Source organism: Homo sapiens, chromosome 21 (genome assembly GCF_000001405.40).
Source record: "Homo sapiens chromosome 21, GRCh38.p14 Primary Assembly".
In the NCBI taxonomy this organism is placed as follows: Eukaryota; Metazoa; Chordata; class Mammalia; order Primates; family Hominidae; genus Homo; species Homo sapiens.
The window spans coordinates 46,564,852-46,584,903 of record NC_000021.9 but is presented as its reverse complement, the minus strand read 5'-3'; the positions used below and the strand labels follow the sequence as shown (position 1 = coordinate 46,584,903).

General features: G+C 40.3%; 1 protein-coding gene across 18 annotated transcripts in view; it reads right to left on the bottom strand.

Annotated features, from left to right (window-relative positions):
• DIP2A (disco interacting protein 2 homolog A) overlaps positions 1,033 to 20,052 on the bottom strand; it is a 124,981-nt gene continuing 105,961 nt past the window's right edge. For 9 of the 18 annotated variants that reach the window (XM_047440707.1, XM_017028293.2, XM_047440710.1 and 6 more), the window contains 3 exons: positions 19,017 to 19,191; positions 18,221 to 18,344; positions 16,567 to 17,534 (listed from right to left, as the gene is read on the bottom strand). In XM_047440707.1, coding sequence (XP_047296663.1) covers positions 17,282 to 17,534; positions 18,221 to 18,344; positions 19,017 to 19,191 — 552 coding nt within the window. In that variant the 3' untranslated portion in view covers positions 16,567 to 17,281. Of the gene's footprint in view, positions 3,224 to 12,153; positions 14,275 to 14,888; positions 17,535 to 18,220; positions 18,345 to 19,016; positions 19,192 to 20,052 lie in introns of those variants that run through there. The other 9 variants (NM_001353942.2, NM_001410751.1, NM_015151.4 and 6 more) reach the window with 6 other exon arrangements.

Sequence of the window (20,052 nt, the reverse complement as noted above, 5' to 3'; positions counted from 1 at the left end):
GGCTAACACAGTGAAACCCCATCTCTACTAAAAATACAAAAAATTAGCTGGGCGTGGTGGTGCATGCCTGTAGTCCCTGTTAGGAGGCTGAGGCAGGAGAATGGTGTGAACCCGGGAGGTGGAGCTTGCAGTGAGCCAAGATTGTGCCACTGCACTCCATCCTGGGTGACAGAGCGAGACTCCATCTCAAGAAAAGAAAAGAAAAAAAAAAAAAAATATATATATATATATATATATATATATATATATATATATAGTGAAGATTTGATATTAATTTTTCTTCAAATATTTTTCAAATATTTAGTAAAATTTAGTGGTGAAGCCGTCTGGGTGGGTATGGTGTTTTACTGCTTATTCAGTATTTTTGCTTGTTATAAGTCTGTTCAGATTGCCTGATCTTAAGTGGGGTTTGGTAGTTTGTGTCTTTCTAGGAATGTATCCATTTCATCTAAGTTACCTAATGTATTGGCATGCGATTGTTCATACTACTTCTTTATCATCCTTTGTTATTTCTGTAAGATCTGTAGTAATGCCCTTTTTTATTTCTGATTCTAGTAATTTGAGTCTTCTCTTTTTTCTTAGCCTAGCTACAGTTTTGTTAATTTTTAAAAATCTTTTCAGTTTTTGGTTTTATTGTTTTTCTCTTGTGCTTTTCAATATCTGTTTCATTAATTTCCATTCTAATATTTATCTTTTCTTTCTTCTGCTTTCTTTAGGTTTAGTTTACTCTTCTTTTTCCAGGATAAAACTAGGTTAATGATTTGAAATTTTTCTTCTTTCTTATTATACGCATGTGCAGCTAGACATTTAACACTGCTTCAGCTTCATTCCATAAATTTTGATATGTTGTGTCTTCATTTTCATTTATGTCAGGGTATTTTTTTATTTCCCTTTTGTTTTCCTCTGATCCATTGGTTATTTAGTAGAGTGCTGCTCAATTTCCATATGCTTGGGAGTTTTCCAAATTTTTTCCTGTTGATTTCTGTCTTATTCCAATTTGTCCTGCTATAACAAAATACTTAAGACTGGGTATTTAATAATGAACAGAAATTTATTTAGCACAGCTCTGGAGGCTGGGAAATCGAAGAATGAGGGGGCAGCATCTGGCAGGACCCTTGTGCTGCATCATCCCATGGTGGGAGGTGGAAAGGCAAGAGAGAGCAAGGGGAGGCCAGACCTGCCCTTTTATAACAGTACTCCTCCTGTGATAATGAACACATTTCTGTGATAATGGCATTAACCCATTAATGAGCACATAACCCTCATGACCCAAACACCTCTTAAAGTTCCCACCTCCCGACACCTTCAAAATGGGAATTAACTTTTAGTATGAGTTTTGGAGTGAACAAAAATTCAAACTATATCAATTCCTAATTTCATTCTATTGTGTAGGAGAACATAATTTATGTATTATATCCTTTTAAATTTAGAGAGGTTTGCTTTATAGCCTAGCATATGGTGGTGTGTTCTAGAGAATGTTCTATGTGCAGTTGAGAAGAATGTATACTTTCTTGTTGTGTGGAGTGTTTTATAGATGTTTGTTAGGTCTAGTTGTTTATAATGTTATATCTTTTATTTCCTAGTTGATTTTCTGCTTGGTTATTCATTATAGAAAGTGAGACATTGAAGTCTCCAACTCTTATTTCTGTCAGTTGTGTGCTTTGTGTATTGTAGTGTTTTGTTGTTGGGTGCATACATATTTGTAATTGTTAGCTTTTCCTGATAGATTGACCCTTCTATAGTTATAAAATGTCTCTAGGAATTTTTTGTTATGTCTATTTTGTATGAGATTAGTATAGCCACTCCAGCTTTCTTGTGGCTGCTGTTTGAATGATGTACCTTTTCTCATCCTTTTACTGTCAGTCTATTTGTATCTTTGAATAAAAGGTGTATCTCCTGTGGACAGCATATAGTTGGGTCTTATTTTTTGTTTTTGTTTGTTTGCTTGTTTTTACACAGGTTTTCTGACAATCTCTGCCTTTTTAATAAACTGTTTAATTCATTCATGTTAAGGAAAAATGCATTTATAGTCTTACCATTATATAATTATCTTTACCTTTACTGGTTCTCTTTGCTTTTTCTGTGGATCCAAGTTACCATTTGGCATATTCACTTGGTTGTTAAAAAAATTACCAGCAAAGTGGAAAGATGGCCTACTAGAAGCAGCTGCCATTGGTGGCTCCCACTGAGAAGAATGAAAATGGTGAGTGAATCCTGCACCTTCAGCTGAGGTACCCAGGTTCTCTCATTGAGACTGACTAGGTGGTTGGCACAACCCATGGAGAGTCGGGAAAAGCAGGGTGGAGCGATGGACCACTCAGGAGCACCATGGGGCAAGAGGAGCTCCCATCCCCAGCCAAGGGAGGCAGTGACTGATTGTGCTACCTGCCTGGAAAACCATGTTTTTTCCACAGATCTGTGCAACTCACAGATCAGGAAATCCCCTCATGAGCCCAAACCACCAGAGCCTTGGGTCCCAAGTACAGAGCTGTCCAGATGCTCAGGTTGCAGCTAGTGGCAGCTGGCTAGAGACTGCCTAAGACAACTGAGTACCTAGGGGGAGGGGCGGCCACCATCACTGCAGCTCCAGTCTGCCGTTTTCCTCTGCTGGTGCGGGGAAGACTGGGTAGTTTGAACCAGGAGGAATTTCCCACAGCACAGCACAGTGGCTGTGGCAGATCATGGCTAGACTGCTGCTTTAGGTGGGACCCAGATCCATTCCCCGTCAATGGGCAGGGCCTCCCTGTGGGAATTTCAGCAACTCCAGCCAGAGGTTTACAAACAGAACTCTGATCTCCCTGGAATGGAGTCCTTAGGGGGATGGGCAGCTGTGATCTCCACAACTCAGTAGACATAATCTTTCCTGCCTGCTGGTTCTGAAGAGGCTGGGCAGTTTGGACAAAGAGGAGTCCCTCCAGTGCAGTGCACCCACTCCACCAAGGGGCAGCCAGACTGCTTCTTTAAGCAGGCCTCGGATCCCAAGCCTCCTGACTGGGTGAGATCCCCCAACATGGGTTGTCAGGAATCTTATACGGGAGCGTTCCCACCAGCATCAGGTTGGTGTCCCTCTGAGATTGAGCTCCCAGAGGAAGGATCAGGCAGCCATCTTTGGTGTTCTACAGCCTCCACTGGTGACACTTCCAGGTGCAGGAGGGATCCAGGTGAATAGGGTCTGGAGTAGACCCCCAGCAAACTGCAGCAACCCTACAGAAGAGGGGCCTAGCTGTTAAAAGAAAGAAAGCAACAACAACATCAACAAAAAAAGACCCCACAAAACCCCATCCAAAGGTCAGCAGCCTCAAAGATCAAAGGTAGACAAGCTCACAAAGATGAGAAAAAAATCAATGCAAAAACGCTGAAAACTCAAAAAGCCAGAGTGCCTCTTCTCCTTCGAATGACTGAAACACCTCTCCAGCAAGGGCACAGAACTGGACAGAGGCTGAGATGGATGAACTGACAGAAGTAGGCTTCAGAATGTGGGTAATAACGAACTCCATTGAGCTAAAGGAGTTATGTTCTAACCCAGTGCAAAGGAGCTAAGAACCATGATAAAACATTACAAGAGCTGTTAACCAGAATAACCAGTTTACAGAGGAACATAAATGATCTGATGGAGCTGAAAAACACAACTTGAGAACTTCACAATGCAACCACAAATATCAATAGCCAAATAGACCAAGTGGAACAAAGAATCTCAGAGCTTGAAGACTATCTTGCTTAAATAAGACAGGCAGACAAGATTAAAGAAAAAAGAATGAAAAGGAATGAACAAAACTTCTGAGATCTATGAGATTATGTAAAAAGACTGAACCTACAACTGATTGGGGTACCTGGAAGAGATGGGGAGAATGGCACCAAGTTGGAAAGCATACTTCAGGATATCATCCAGGAGAACTTACCCAAACCAGCAAGACAGGCCAACATTCAAATTCAGGAAATCCAGAGAACCCCAGTAAAATACTCCATGAGAAGATCAGCCCCAAGACACATAATCATCAGATTCCTCAAGGTCAAAATGAAGGAAAAAATGTTAAGGGCAGCCAGAGAGAAAGGCCAGGACACCTACAAAGGGAAGTCCATCAGACTAACAACAGAATTCTCAGTGGAAACCCTACAAACCAGAAGAGATTGGAGGCCATATTCAACATTCTTAAAGAAAAGAATTTCCAACCCAGAATTTTATATATGGTCAAATTAAGATTCATAAATGAAGGAGAAATAAAATCCTTTTCAGACAAGCAAATGCTGAGGAATTCATCACTACCAGGCCTGCCTTGCAGGAGCTCCTGAAGATAGCATGAAATATGGAAAGGAAAAACTATTACCAGCCTGTACAAAAAGACACTGAAGTACACAGACCAGTGACACTGTGAAGCAACTACATTAATAAGTCTGCAAAATAACCAGCTAGCATTATGATGACAGGATCAAATTCACACATAACCATACTAACTTTAAATGTAAATGAACTAAATGTCCCAATTAAAAGACACAGAATGGCAAGCTGGATAAACAGTTAAGACCCATCAGTGTGCTGTATTCAAGAAACCCCTCTCACATGCAAAGACACATGAGGCTCAAAATAAAGAAGTGGAGGAAAATTTACCAAGCAAATGGAAAACAGAAAAAAACAAGGGTTGCAATACTAGTTTCTGACAAAACAAATCTTCAACCAACAAAGATTAAAAAAAAGAAGGGCATTACACAATGGTAAAAGGTTCAATTCAACAAGAAGAGCTAACTGTCCTAAATATATACGCAGCCAATACAGGAGCACCCAGATTTATAAAACAAGTTTTTAGAGACCTACAAAGAGACTTAGACTCTCACACAATAATAGCGGGAGACTTTAACACCCCACTGTCAATATTAGTTAGATCATCAAGAGAGAAAATTAACAAAGATATTCAGAACTTGAACTCAGCTCTGGATTAAGTAGACCTGATAGATATCTACAGAACTTTCCACTCAAAAGCAACAGAATATACATTCTTCTTGGCACCACATGGCACTTACTCTAAAACTGATCACATAATTGGAAGTAAAACCCTCCTCAGCAAATTCAAAAGAACTGAAATTATAACAGTCTTTCAGACCACAGCAGAATCAAAATGGAACTCAAGATTAAGAAGCTCACTCAAAACCACACAACTACATGGAAACTGAACAACCTCCTCCTGAATGACTCCTGGGTAAACAATAAAATTAAGGCACAAATCAAGAACTTATTTGAAACTAATGAGAACAAAGAGACAATATACCAGAATCTCTGGGATGCAGCTAAAGCAGCATTAAGAGGAAAATTTATAGCACTAAATGCCCACTTCAAAAAGCTAGGAGGATCTCCAATTGACATCCTAACATCACAACTAAAAGAACTAGAGAACCAAGAGCAAACAAACCCCAAAGCTAGCAGAAGACAAGAAATAACCAAGATCAGAGCAGAACTGAAGGAAACAGAGACGTGAAAAACCCTTCAAAAAAAATCAACGAATCCAGGAGCTGGCTTTTTGAAAAAAATTAATAAAATAGATAGACTGCTAGCTAGACAAAGAAAAGTGAAAAGAATCAAATGGACACAATGAAAATGATAAAGAGAATATCACCACTGACCCTACGGAAATACAAACAACCATCAGAGAATACTATAAACATCTCTATGCACATGAACTAGAAAATGTAGAAGAAACTGATAAATTCCTGAATACAAAGACCCTCCTAAGACTGAACCACAAAGAAGTTGAATCTCTGAATAAACCAATAATAAGTCCTGAAATTGAGGCAGTAAGAAATAGCCTACCAACCAAAAAAAACCCAGGACCAGAAGGATTTACAGCTGAATTCTACCAGAGGTACAAAGAGGAGCTGGTTCCATTTCTTCTGAAACTATTCCAAACAATAGAAAAGGAGGGAATCCTCCCTAACTCATTTTATGAGACGAGCATCATCCCGATACCAAAACCTGGCAGAGATAAAACAAAAAAACAAAACTTCAGACCAATATGACTGATGAACATTCATGCAAAAATTCTCAATAAAATACTGGCAAACCAAATCCAGCAGCACATCAAAAAGCTTATCCTACCATGATCAAGGTGGCCTCATCCCTGGGATGCAAGGCTGGTTCAACATATGCAAATCAATAAACATAATTCATCACATAAATGGAACAAAAGATGAAAACCACATGATTATATCAATAGACACAGAAAAGGCCTTCAATAAAATTCAACATCCCTTCACATTAATACTTTCAATAAACTGGATATTGAAGGAATATGCCTCAAAATAATAACAGCCACTTATGACAGATCCACAGCCAATTTCATACCGAATGAGCAAAAGCTGGAAGCATTCCCCTTGAAAACTGGCACAAGACAAGGATGCCCCCTCTCACCACTCCTATTCAACATAACATTGGAAGTTCTAGCAAGGGAATCAGGCAAGAGAAAGAAATAATGGATATTCAAATAGGAAGAGAGGAAGTCAAACTGCCTCTGTTCACAGATGACATGATCCTATATCCAGAAAACCCCATTGTCTCAGCCCAAAAGGTTTTTTTTGTTGTCGTTGTTTTTGTTTGTTTGTTTTTTGAGACGGAGTCTTGCTCTGTTGCCAGGCTGGAGTGCAGTGGCACAATCTTGGCTCACTGCAACCACCGCCTCCCAGGTTCAAGCAATTCTCCTGCCTCAGCCTCCTGAGTAGCTGGGACTACAGGCACACACCACCACGCCTGGCTAATTTTTGTATTTTTACTAGAGACAGGATTTCACCATGTTGGCCAGGATGGTCTTGATCTCTTGACCTCGTGATCCACCCACCTCGGCCTCCTAAAGTGCTGGGATTACAGGTGTGAGCCACCACGCCCAGCCTCCAAAAGCTTCTTAAACTGATAAGCAACTTCAGCAAAGTCTCAGGATACAAAATCAATGTGCAAAAGTGACAAGCATTTCTATACACCAACAGACAAGGCAGAGTGCCAAATCTTAAGTGAACTTCCATTTACAATTGCTACAAAGAGAATAAAATACCTAGGAATACAGTTAACAAGGGAAGTGAAGGACCTCTTCGAGGAGAACTACAAACCACTGCTCAAGGAAATCAGAGAAGACACAAACAAATGGAAAAACATTCCATGCTCATGGATAGGAAGAATCAATATCGTGAAAATGGCCATACTCCCCAAAGTAATGTATAGATTCAATGCTATTACCATTAGACTACCATTGACATTCTTCACATAATTAGAAAAAAAGCTATTTTAAAATTGATATGATACCAAAAAAAAGCCCATATAGCCAAGACAATCCTAAGCAAAAAGAACGAAGTTGGAGGCATCATGCTATTGGACTTCAAGCTATACAGCAAGGCTACAGTAACTAAAACAGCATGGTACTGGTACAAAAACAGACACATAGACCGGTGGAACAGGATAGGGAACCCAGAAGTAAGACTGCCCATCTACAACCATCTGATCTTTGACAAACATGACAAAAACAAGCAATGGGGAAAGGATTCCCTATTTAATAAATGGTGCTGGGAGAACTGGCTATCCATATGCAGAAAATTAAAACTGGACCCCTTCCTTACACCTTATACAAAAATTAACTCAAGATGGATTAAAGACTTAAATGTAGAACCCCAAACTATAAAAACCCTAGAAGAAAATCTAGGCAATACCATTCAGGACATAGGCACGGACAGAGATTTCATGATGAAAACATCAAAAGCAATTGCAACAAAAGCAAAAGGAAATTGACAAATAGGATCTAATTAAACTGAAGAGCCTCTGCACAGCAAAAGAAACTATCATCAGAGCAAACAGACCACCTACAGAATGGGAGAAAATTTTTGCAATCTATTCATCTGACAAAGGCCCAATATCTAGAATCTACAAGGAACTTAAAACAAATATACAAGAAAAAACCAACCTCATTAAAAAGTGGGCAAAGGACATGAACAGACACCTGTCAAAAGAAGACATTCATGCGGCCAACAAATATATGAAAAAAAGCTCAATATCGCTGATCATTAGAGAAATGCAAGTCAAAACCACAAATGAGATACTACTGTCTCACACCAGTCAGAATGGCAACTATTAAAACGTCAAAAAACAACAGATGCTGGTGAGGCTGCAAAGAAATAGGAATGCATTTACAGTGTTGATGGGAATGCAAATTAGTCCAATCATTGTGGAAGACAGTGTGGCAATTTCTCAAAGACCTAGACCCAGAAATACCATTTGACCCAGCAATCCCGTTACTGGGTATATACCCAGCGGAATATAAATTATTCTATTACAAAAATATATGCACATGTATGTTCATTGCAGCACTATTCACAATAGCAAAGGCATGGAATCAACCCAAATGGCTGTCAATGGTAGGCTAGATAAAGAAAATGTGGTACATTTACACCATGGAATACTATTCAATCATAAAAAGGAATTAGATTGTGTTCTCTGCAGGGAGATGGATGGAGCTGGAAGCCATTATCCCCAGCAAACTAACGCAGGAACAGAAAACCAAACACCACATGTTCTCACTTATAAGTGGGAGCTGAACATTATGAACACATAGACACACAGAGGGGAACAACACACACTGGGGCCTGTTGGGGGGACACTGGGGGAGGGAGAGCATCAGGAAAAATAGCTAATGCATGCTGGACTTAGGTGATTGGTTGATAGGTGCAGCAAATCACCATGGCACATGTTTGCCTATGAAACAAATCTGCACATCCTGCACATGTACCCTAGAACTTAAAAATTTTTAAAAATTGCCATCGGGGGTCACTTGCTTTCAGTCTGATGGACTTTCTTTAGTATTTATGGTGATGTCAGCCAACAACAAAATTTGCTTATCTAAGAATGTCCTTATTTTGCTTTCATTTTTCAAAGGTGTATACCTTTTGTATATCTTATTTGGAGAACTGTCTTACAGCTTTTTCTTTTTCAAAATTGCTTTGTTTATTCAGAGTGTCTTTAGATTCTATATCAATTTTAGAATGAGTTAGTCTTTCTGCAAAAACCATAATTAGAATTTGGATAGGGACTGCCTTGAATCTGTAGATGGCTTTGAGTAGTACTGACATCTTAACAATATTAAGACTTCCAATCCATGAACATAAGATGTCTTTCCACTTATTTCTTTGTATTGTTCGATGTTTTCCATTCAATGTTTTGTACTTTTCATTTTATAAGTCTTTCATCTCCTTGGTTAATTCCTAAATATTTTTTGATGCTATTGTCAATGGAATTGTTTTCCTGATTTCCTTTTCGAATTGTTCATTGTGAGTGTATGAAAATGCAACTATTTTTGTGTGTTGACCTTGTATCCTGCTATGTTGCTAAATTTATTAGTGCTACTTTTTTTTGTGGAATCTTTAGGCCTTTCTACATATGAGATTATATCATTGGCAGAGATAATTTGAATTGTTTCTTTCCAATTTAGAATCCTTTTTTTCTTGCCTAATTGCTCTAAGAGCTTCCAGTTCTGTGTTGAGTGGAAGTGACAAACGCAGTCATCCTTGCTGTGTTTCTGATCTTATCAGAAAAAGCTTCTGCAGATTTTCACTACTGAGTATGATGTTTGTTGTGGATTTTCATATATGGACTTCATTATGTTGAAGTAGTTTCCTTTTATTCCTAGTTGTTTTTTTCTTTAATCATTATAGGGTACTGAATTTTGCCAAATGCCTTTGCTGCATCAATCGAGACGATCACATGTGGTTTTTCCCCTTCATTCCATTAATATGGTTTATTACATTGATTGTTTTATATATTGAATCATCCTTACATTCCAGGAGTAAACCCCACTTTGTAATGCTATATAGTGTTTTTAATATGCTGCTGAAGTCAGTTTGCTAGTATTTTATTGAGGATTTTTACATCAATGTTCAGAAGGAATCATGGTCTGTAGTTTTCTGTTTTTGTAGTGTCTGACTGGTTCCAGTATCAGGATAATGCTTGCCTCATAGAGTAAGTTTGAAAGTTTTCCCTCAACTTTCTGAAAAAGTTTAAAAAGGATTAGTGTTAGTTATTTAAATGTTTGGTAGAATTCACCAATGAAGCCATCAGGTTTTTGTCAATAGATCTTTTATTACTTAAATCAATCTCCTTACTAGTTATAAGTCTACTCAGATTTTCTATTTCTTCATGATTAGTCTTGATATGTTTTGTGTTTTTAGGAACTTGTCTATTCTAGGTTTTTCCATTTGTTGGCATACAATTGTGCATAGTATTTTTTAATGCTTTTTATTACTGTAGAATTGGTAACGTTTCCAATTTTATTTCTGATTTTAGTAATCTGTCTTCTTTTTTTCTTGGTCCATCTAGCTAAAATGTCAATTTTGTTGATCTTTTCAAAGAAACCATTTTTGGCTTTCTTGATTTTCTCTGTTTTTCTATTGTCTCTCATCTATTTCTGCACTAATCCTTACTTCTGCTAACTTTGGGTTTAGTTTGTTCTTCTTTTTTAGTTTCTTAAGTTGTAATGTTAGTTTGTTAATTTGAGGTCCTTCTTGGTTTTTAATGTAAGCATTTATAGCTATAAATTGCTTCTTTAGCACTGCTTTTGCTGGGTCCCATAAGTTTTGGTACATTGTTTTTATTTCCAAGTATTTTCTAATTTTTCTTGTTATTTCTTCTTTGATCCATTGGTTGTTTGAAAGTGTGTTAATTTTCACTAATTTCTGTATTTTCTCAGTTTTCCTTCTGCTATAGATTTTTAACTTTATCCCAGTTTGGTTTAAGGAGAGACTTTGTATATTTTTAAATCTATTGAGACTTAATTTGTGGCCTAACATGTTGTCTATCCTGGAAAATGTTCCATGTGAACTTGAGAAGAATGTGTATTCTATTTTTATTGTTGGGTAGAATGTTCTGCATATGTCTGTTAGATCTAGTTAGTTTGTTGTGCTGTTTAAAGCCTCCATTTCCTTACTTATGTCTTATTGTTCCATCCATTATTCAAAGCAGGGCACTGACATTTCCAACTATTATTATAGAACTGTCTATTTCTCCTTTCTCCCTTCTATTGTCAGTTTTCATTTCATATATTTTGATGATCTGTCATTGTATGTGTAAATGTTTACAATTGTTACATCTTGCTGAATTGAATCTTTTATTAATGTCCATCATTTCTTGTAATCATTTTTTATTTAAACTATATTATTATAGCTACCTCTGCTCCCTGTTGATTACTATTTGCATGGAATATCTTTTTTTTTTTTTTTTTTTTTTTTTTTTTTTTTTTTTTGTGAGAGAGGGTCTTACTCTGTCTCCCAGGCTGGAGTACAGTGTTGTGATCTTGGTGCACTGCAATCTCCACCCATCAGGCTCAAGGAATATTCCCACCTCAGCCTCCTGAGAAAGCCACAATGCCCAGCTAATTTTTGTATTTTTTTGGTAGAGATGTGGTCTCTTCATGTTGCCTAGGCTGGTCTCAAATTCCTGGGCTCAAGAAAACCACCTGCCTCAGCCTCCCAAAGCGCTGGGATTACAGACATGAGCCACTGTGCCCAGTGAATATATTTTTCCATCCTGTCACTCTCAATATATTAATACTGTGTCTTTGGATGTGAGTCTCTTGTAGACAGCATACAGTTAGATCCTGTTTTTTCCCCATTCTGCCAATCTCTGTCCATTTAATCTATTTACAGATAAAGTAATTATCAATAAGGAGAGACTTACTTCTGTCACTTCATATTCTATATGCCTTATATCTCTTTCATTTCTTGTATTGCGCCCTTCTGTGTTTTTTTTTAATGAAACATTTAAATCCCTTTCTCACTTCCTTTTGTGCATACAGCCATGCATTACTTAACAACAGAAATATGTTCTGAGAAATGTGTTTTTAGGTGATTTCATCATTGGGGGAACAACATACAGTGTATATGTATCTACACAAACCTAGCCTACAACACACCTAGGCTATATGATATAGCCTATTGCTCCTGGGTTACAAACCTGTCCACCATGTAACTGTACAAAATACTGTAGGCAATTGTAATGCACTGGTATTTGTATATCTAAACACATGTCCAAATTTAGAAAAGGTAGTAAAAATACAGTATAAAGGATTAAAATCAGTACACTTGTACAGGGCACTCAGTCCATTGTATGTTGCTTATAACAGAACACCTGAAATTGGCTACATTATAAGAAAAACATGAATTTATTTCTTAGAATTATAGCAGCTGAGAAGTCCAAGGTTGAGGGCCACATCAGGTCAGGGTCTTCTTGCTGGTAGGGACTCTCTGCAGACTCCCAAGGTAGTGCAGGGCATCATATGGTGGGGGCGCTGAGCATGCTAGCTCAGGTCTTCATCTTCTTACAAAGCCATCAGCCCCATTCCCATGATAATCCATTAATCTATCAATCCTTGAATAGATTAATCCAATCACCTCTTAAGGGCCCCACCTCTTAATACTGCCACATTGGGGGTCACTCAAATCATAGTAAGTACTTACCATTAATGGAGCTGGTAGAACTCAAAGTTATTTTGGGTGTAAGTGGTGAATGAATGTGAAGGCCTAGGACATTACTGTACACTACTATAGACTTTATAAACATTGTACACTTAGACTACACTAAACATAATTTTTCTTCAATAATAAATTAACCTTAGCTTACTGTAACTTTATAAACTTTCAAATGTTTTTAAGTTTTTGGCTATTTTGTAAAAACATTTAGCTTAAAACACATTGTACAACTGTGCAAAACATTTTTAGACATCTTTATAAACTTTTTTCTCTAAAAATTTTTTATTTTTTACATTATAAACTTTATTATTAAAAGCTAAAACCTGTCAATAAACTAGGTATTGGTGGACCATATCTCAAAATAATAAGAGCTATTTATGACAAACCCACAGCCAGTATCATACTGAATGGGCAAAAACTAGGAAGGATTCCCTTTGAAAACCGGCACAAGACAAGGATGCTCTTTCTCACCACTCCTACTCAACATAGTATTGGAAGTTCTGGTCAGGGCAAACAGGCAAGAGAAAGAAAGAAAGCATATTCAAATAGGAAAAGAGGAAGTCAAATTGTCTCTGTTTGCAGATGACATGATTGTATATTTAGAAAACCCCATCATCTCAGCCCAAAATCTCCTTACTCTGATAAGCAACTTCGGCAAAGTTTCAGGATACAAAATCAATGTGCAAAAATCACAAGCATTCTTATACACCAATAACAGACAAACAGAGAGCCAAATGATGAGTGAACTCCCATTCACAATTGCTACTAAGATAATGAAATACCTAGGAATACAACTTACAAGGGATGTGAAGGACCTCTTCAAGGAGAACTACAAACCACTGCACAAGGGAATAGGAGAGGATGCAAACAAATGGAAAAACATCCCATGTTCATGGATAGGAAGAACCAATATCGTGAAAATGGCCATACTGCCCAAAATAATTTATAAATTCAATGCTATCCCCATCAAGCTACCATTGACTTTCTTCACAGAATTAGAAAAAACTACTTTAAATTTCAATATATTGGCCCACTACCTTCTGGCCTCTAGTTTCTGATGAGCAATCTGCTGATAATCTTATTGAGCAGCAGTCCCCAACCTTTTTGGCACCAGCGACTGGTTTTGTGGAAGACAATTATTCCACAGACCAGGGGGCACAGGACGATGGTTTTGGAATGGAACTGTCCCACCTCAGATCATCAGGCATTAGATTCTTATAAGGAGTGTGCAACCTCGATCCCTGGCACGTGCAGTTAGTTCATAAGAAGGCTTGCATGCCTATGAAAATCTAATGTCACCACTGATCTGACAGGAGGCAGAGCTCAGGTGGTAATGCTCACTCACCCACCACTCACCTCTTGCTGTGTGGTCTGGTACCTAACAGACTGTTAACAGTCTGTGGCCCAGGGCTTGGGGACCTGTTACTGAGGATCCTTTGTATGTAGCAAGTTGCTTCTCCCTTGTTGCTTTCAAAATTCTCTGGCTTTGGCTTCTGAAATGTTGGTATCTGTGTGGTCTCTTTGAGTTCATCTTACTTGGAATTTGTTGAGCTACTTGGATGCTTATATTCAGGTCTTTCATCAAATTTAGGAAGTCTTCAGCCATTATTTCTTCAAGTATTCTCTCTCTCCCTCAACCCCACTTCTGGAACTGCCAACATGAAGGCCAGCACTGTGGCAGGAACCAGGCAAATACTGGAGGTTAGTTATTTCTCTGCCATGTACTCCCCATTGGTTTATGCTGATCATTCCAGTAGAACCACTTTGAAATAAATCAGCTATATTCATAATCTGAAATCAAACACAATAACCAGTTTGCATAAATATAACATCTAAAAAACCATCTGCACCAAAACAGATAGAACCAAAATACAAATAACCCACAAGAAAAAGTAAGAAGTATATGGAGGTTATAATTCTTAATAGAAAGAGACTCCTACATGTCAGTAAGAAAAAACTTGACCATAAGGACTGCCAAATCTGAACAAAATACATCAGATAAGAACTAAAAATGGCCATGAACACGAGGACATATTCAACATGACCAGACACAACACTTATTTGCCTATCAAATTGTTAAAGAGTTATTTTAATCTTGAGCACATGTCCATTGCCAACATTACTTGGCATCTGCAAAGAGGCCTTTTCCATGCTGTCATCCTGCCCTTCTGGAGGGCAGCAGGTACCCAAAGCTTCACACCTGGCATGAACTCTGACCCACTCACTCTACCTATAAGAACTGAGCCCAAGGCAGTAATTGTAATCATGGCAGTGTAAACGTGCATCTGGGCTCACTGCAGTCCTGTTGAAACAACGCTGATGTACGGCAATACAGCAAATACTACATTTACTCATGGCACACTTGTAAAATACAGCCACTGAAACATGTAGAAGAATATATGTAATAGATTTTAAAGTCTATAATTTATTAAGTACAAAAGCAAATTATTTAAAAAAGCACTTGATCCTAATTTTGTAAAAAATTTTTAAAAAGAAAAAATAAATCCCTGAGAGGGTTTATGTTACATACGAATGCTGCTGTTTACTCAGAGGTAGAATTATAAGAAATTTTAATTTTCTTTATACTTTAATGTGCTTTCTAGATTTTATGCTATAAGCATAACTGCTTTTATAGTCAGAAAAAAAGCAAAATAAGATACAACCTATTCGGGGTAATTTAAAGACCCTTTTCACACATTTCAAAATGCAGAATTACAAAGTCAATAACTTTTATTAACATAATGATATAAAAATTTTAGTGTGATATACAGAATTCCCAGAGTAATTCTAAAACATTTTAATGCACTTCTTAAAATCTTAATTTACAAGACACCTTGTCTTACCACCACTGACCTTTCAATACAAAAAGCTGACAATTTTTGTTTGCTATAAAACTACAACATTAAGATTGGAGTTAGGTAGTTTTTTTTTTTTTTTCTTTCCCTTCCCAGCCATTCTATTGTAAGGAATGTCCATTAGACTACTTCCCAAACCTCTGTATGTCAACAATAAGTTACATAGATTCTGTACATACTTACAACAGGATTATTAGAATTCCAGTATGTCACAACATACTTTACCACAGTCCAACACCATGGGGAAACAGGGCTACTATGCACAGTGCTATTTGTAGCCAGACAGGAGTAAAACATGAGAGCTGGCCCAGTTAGCCAGACTCATGTGTGGAGAATTAATAACAGCTTTGTTAGGCACTGATCCAGACTAATTCTGGAAAAACCTGGTTGTTTCTGTGAAGCATGCATGATTCACAAAATTTGCCACCCTCAATACCCCAAAAACCCAACAATTTCGTAACATACTCTTCATTAGCTATATAAAAATAATCTATGTCTTAGATTCGTGCTTGACTTCAAATTCTTAGAAGTAACTAAAGGACTTTACATTCTCTTCTTTGATTTAGGTTCTGTATAATTTTAGATCACTCAGCTTAGTCAAGTTTGAACAAAATAATAAAATGGTTTGGCCAAATTTTATAGGCACACAACTCAAAATGCAAAAAGCAGTGAAGAATGTAACCATCTCCACCTTCAATACGGGGCAATGCTGTTCCCTGCTCCCCTCAACTGTACTGCCGGTACTCACCAAACAGCACTATGGATATGAAAACCTTAGACTTTACCACAATGCTTCCAAATCTGCTGACTTGGAATAAAAATAATAAATCAGTACACTTCCACGAGAAGAATTAATATTGTAGTGTTAGGAAAACTAGCAATTTAACTAAACAGCATCAAGTTACAAACCAGGAAAGTGATTTAAAACTAAATGCTGGCTTATCTTTCTGAAACAAAGCATCTAAATTTGACAGTCCAAAATGGCACTTATTGAGTGTCCGTGACAATACATGCTGACAAGCAGCACACCTCTTTTTTGTTTTTTTAAGACGGCATCTCGTGCTGTCACCCAGGCTGGAGTGCAGTAGCGTGATCTCGGCTCACTGCAAGCTCCGCCTCCCTGGTTCATACCATTCTCCTGCCTCAGCCTCCCAAGTAGCTGGGACTACAGGCGCCCACCACCACACCCGGCTAATTTTTTGTATTTTTAGTAGAGACAGGGTTTCACCATGTTAGCCAGGATGGTCTCGGTCTCCTGACCTCGTGATCTGCTCGCCTCGGCCTCCCAAAGTGCTGGGATTACAGGTGTAAGCCACCGTGGCCAGCCAGCACACCTCTTTCAATAAAGGAACTGGCAGAGGAGGCACTGTGTGTGACCACAGTGCCCTCTGTGAGCAGGGAGGATGGGTCCAGCTTGCTTCCTTTTTCCATCAGCCTCCCTGTGAAACAGAAGTGAGGCAGCTGGTTTGTACTCTGCTATCTTCCCAGAATCAAGTTTCTCCCCGTAAATGGTCTCAAGTTTCTCCCGTAAATTCTATATATGAACTTGTCATTTGAAGTGGGAATAAATAACTGAATTTTAAAAATCAGGAACTATATTTTTAGCCTAAAGAAAGTGCAAACTTGCAGTACAGCAGAGAACAACCTCGGTGCCTGTGATTCCTCACAATGCCCATGCCAGGCCTTTCCTTTCCTTTCCTTGTCTCTCCATCTGTTAAAATACCAGCATCCGTGTTTTTGTAAATGTACTTGGCAGATTCAAAATATTTCTTTAAATAATTCAGGAAGTGCTTTCTAAAAGGAGATGCGGGGATTGTTGAGAGGGATCTGTAAGAGCACAGGAAGGGCGAGTCCCGGTGAGTGAGCTCTGCGGTGTCTTCCCACATCACACCTTGGACTGCTGGGGCTCATTCATCTCCGGCACCTGGGCCGGTGTGCTGCGCTCACATGTTGTAGGCGACATAGATGGGGTCCAGCTGGTCAGCCAGGAAGCCGTCCCGCAGGTGCATGCGCTGCTTCTCACCCCGAGAGTTGATAGGGATCACCCCTGGGTCCACGATGACCACCACTCCCACGACCAGGTAGTGCTCCTCCAGCACCACGTTGGTCACCAGGGCCACCAGGTCCAGGGCATCCTGCTCTAGCCCATCCAGCTCCACCACCACCACCAGCAGGTTGGTCCAGGTGAATACGGCACTGCAGAGAGAAGACAGACTGGGTCACATGGATACAGGCACAGGTCACAGGGGCCAATGAATGCTTGGGAAAGGGTGGCACAAAGAAGAGTGAAGCCCACCAATGTCACACAGCTATTTAAGGCCATTTACAATCTAAAGATCAGGCCAGATCCATTTTACAGGATGTCTATTCCAACTAAAGCTTTTACTGAGAATCAGAGCATTATCTGATGCTGAAAGCTGTACCTGTCCCAACACAAGTTCCCTACAGGTGAAGGAATCAGGAGTCACAACCATGTGAGAAACTCATATTAAAAGTAGAAACACTTCAGGATGAGACCTGTGGAAATCTACATTTTGCCTGTGCATTTGGGGACAATCTCTTAGCTTACCACTGATAAGGAAACAGATAAAAAAACAAGCCAAACCCAAACACAGGCAGTGAGGTGTGCTCTGGCACCATGTTTTGCAGAGTACATCCAGAGGGAGAACCCACAAGAAGTCCTCAGCCCTCTCTGGCAATGCCCAAGGTAGATAGGGCTCATCTACATGGCACCCAGCTCCACTGCAGACCAGGGTGACAATGCAGGAGGCCTGTGCCCAGGGCCCAGCAGTCCTTGCTCTGCTCCAACCGATGCACAGCACTCATGCCCAGAGGAAGGGCTGGAGGGACCACGTGAAGCCGCCCTCCACCTGGGCTCTTACCACTCAGCGATGCTCCTGTGTGCTCGGATGACAGAGGTCTCAATGTCGATGGGGTGGTACCGCATGCCTCTGAGCTCCAGAGTTTCATCCAGAGACCCAACCACATACAGTGCATCGTGCCGCCCTGTGAACAGTGTGTGTTTACACGTGCCCAGAAAGCCAAGGCATGCAGAGTCTGGACATTCGTATCCTCTGAGCCCAACCAGGGGCTCTCAGGCACAGGGAGGTCTCAACTGAAACATCATGAGGTCGCACACCACGTGCAGAAAGGGTGATGGAGGTCCTGGCAGAGCAGGCTGTTATCTCTGCAGCACGGAACCACCTCAGGAAAGTTACAGCAAGTGTGAGCGTATTATTAAAAATAACTTATCTCTGTGAACGGGACACCATCTATAGGAGCTACCAAAAGTTCTGCCTTATCTGGCCAGCTTGTGGTGGCTGCACAGAGTCCTCTGGACATTGACCACAACCTTAAATGGGTTGTGCATGGGGAAGCCACTGGTAAAGACACAGCGGCAGAGAGACCGGTCTGGCCTCGGGGAGAAGCCTGGTAGCCTTATCACCAACACCGTCCCCCACGCCCTCAGCAGAGGCCAAGGGCCCAAGGACAGTGAGGGGCAGTCATGGAGGGAAAACAGTATTTTCAGAGAAAACTGCTGTCAGAACATCTTCCCCCCACAAGGAGCAATACCAGACCACAGCAAGGAGTGAGGTGTGCTAGCAGGTGACTAAGCTCTTGGGGAGCCCAGGTCCTCCCCGCACAGCACTCACGCAGGGCTTCACCACAACCCCTCACCTCCACTGGCATCAGTGAGCTCTGTTCGCCGAAGGAAGCCAAGGTAGCCGGTCCTTGCCCAGATGGTCTGTGTGTCTCCAAAACTCAGCCGGGCACTGAAGTGGTCGGCATGAAGCGCCTCCTCCCCGTAAACGGTGTAGTACCCGGTGGCATTGTGGGGGCTGCTTACCCAGATCTGGTGGGCCCAGAGGACAAGAATGTGATGTGTTACCAACCACCGAGTTCAGATTCTGTCACGAGACATCCACTGGCCAAGAATAATGCTCCAGAAAACACTGAACGAAGTCGGGGCGGATAATATTCATTGTCTCTTATTTTATGAACTAAGTTAAATTACAGGCACAGAAAGCAAACAGAACTTTTCTCTCCTTAAATACTGTGTTTCTTCCTTTGACCCAAGAATGTCATCTGTAGGACTCTATCCTACGTGGGTAAGTCGAGAGGGGCAATTCCACCTTCCTCACATCCAACTATTGTTGGTAATAAGAGAGGGCCGGGAGCAACCCACATTCCACAACAGGGACAGGCTGAAGGAATGAGGGTTCTTACAGAGTGGAGAGCGTGCAGCTGCTCAGACTCACAGTAAGACAGAGGCCCTGAAAACAGACGGCACATCCCAGGGTTAACGTCAGCCCCACGCGCGTGTGTGTGCGTCCGCTATCCGTGTTCACGTGTGTGTATCCACCTGTCCACGTGTTTGTGTGCACCCTCATATCTACACACGTAAGCATTTTGTGCATCCATGCAGAGACCAAGGGACCAGAGGCCTGTGCCTGCAGGACCAAGTGTCATGGGGCCCTTCTAGAGAGAGTCCGTCCAGAACCCACGGTCAGTTCGACTGGCTCTAAGACGCCCCTGCATGGCAGCGTCTGAAAGAGGAGAACGGGGTGGCCAATAGGGGCGTTTCCCTTGAGCATCTGCCACAAGGGTGGGTCACCATGCCTGGCTCAGACTCTCCATTTCTTGGGGGTACACCCTTGACTTACAGACCTGGGTTTGGCTGTGCAGGAAGTGGGACGGTTGAGGGGAGGGTCCC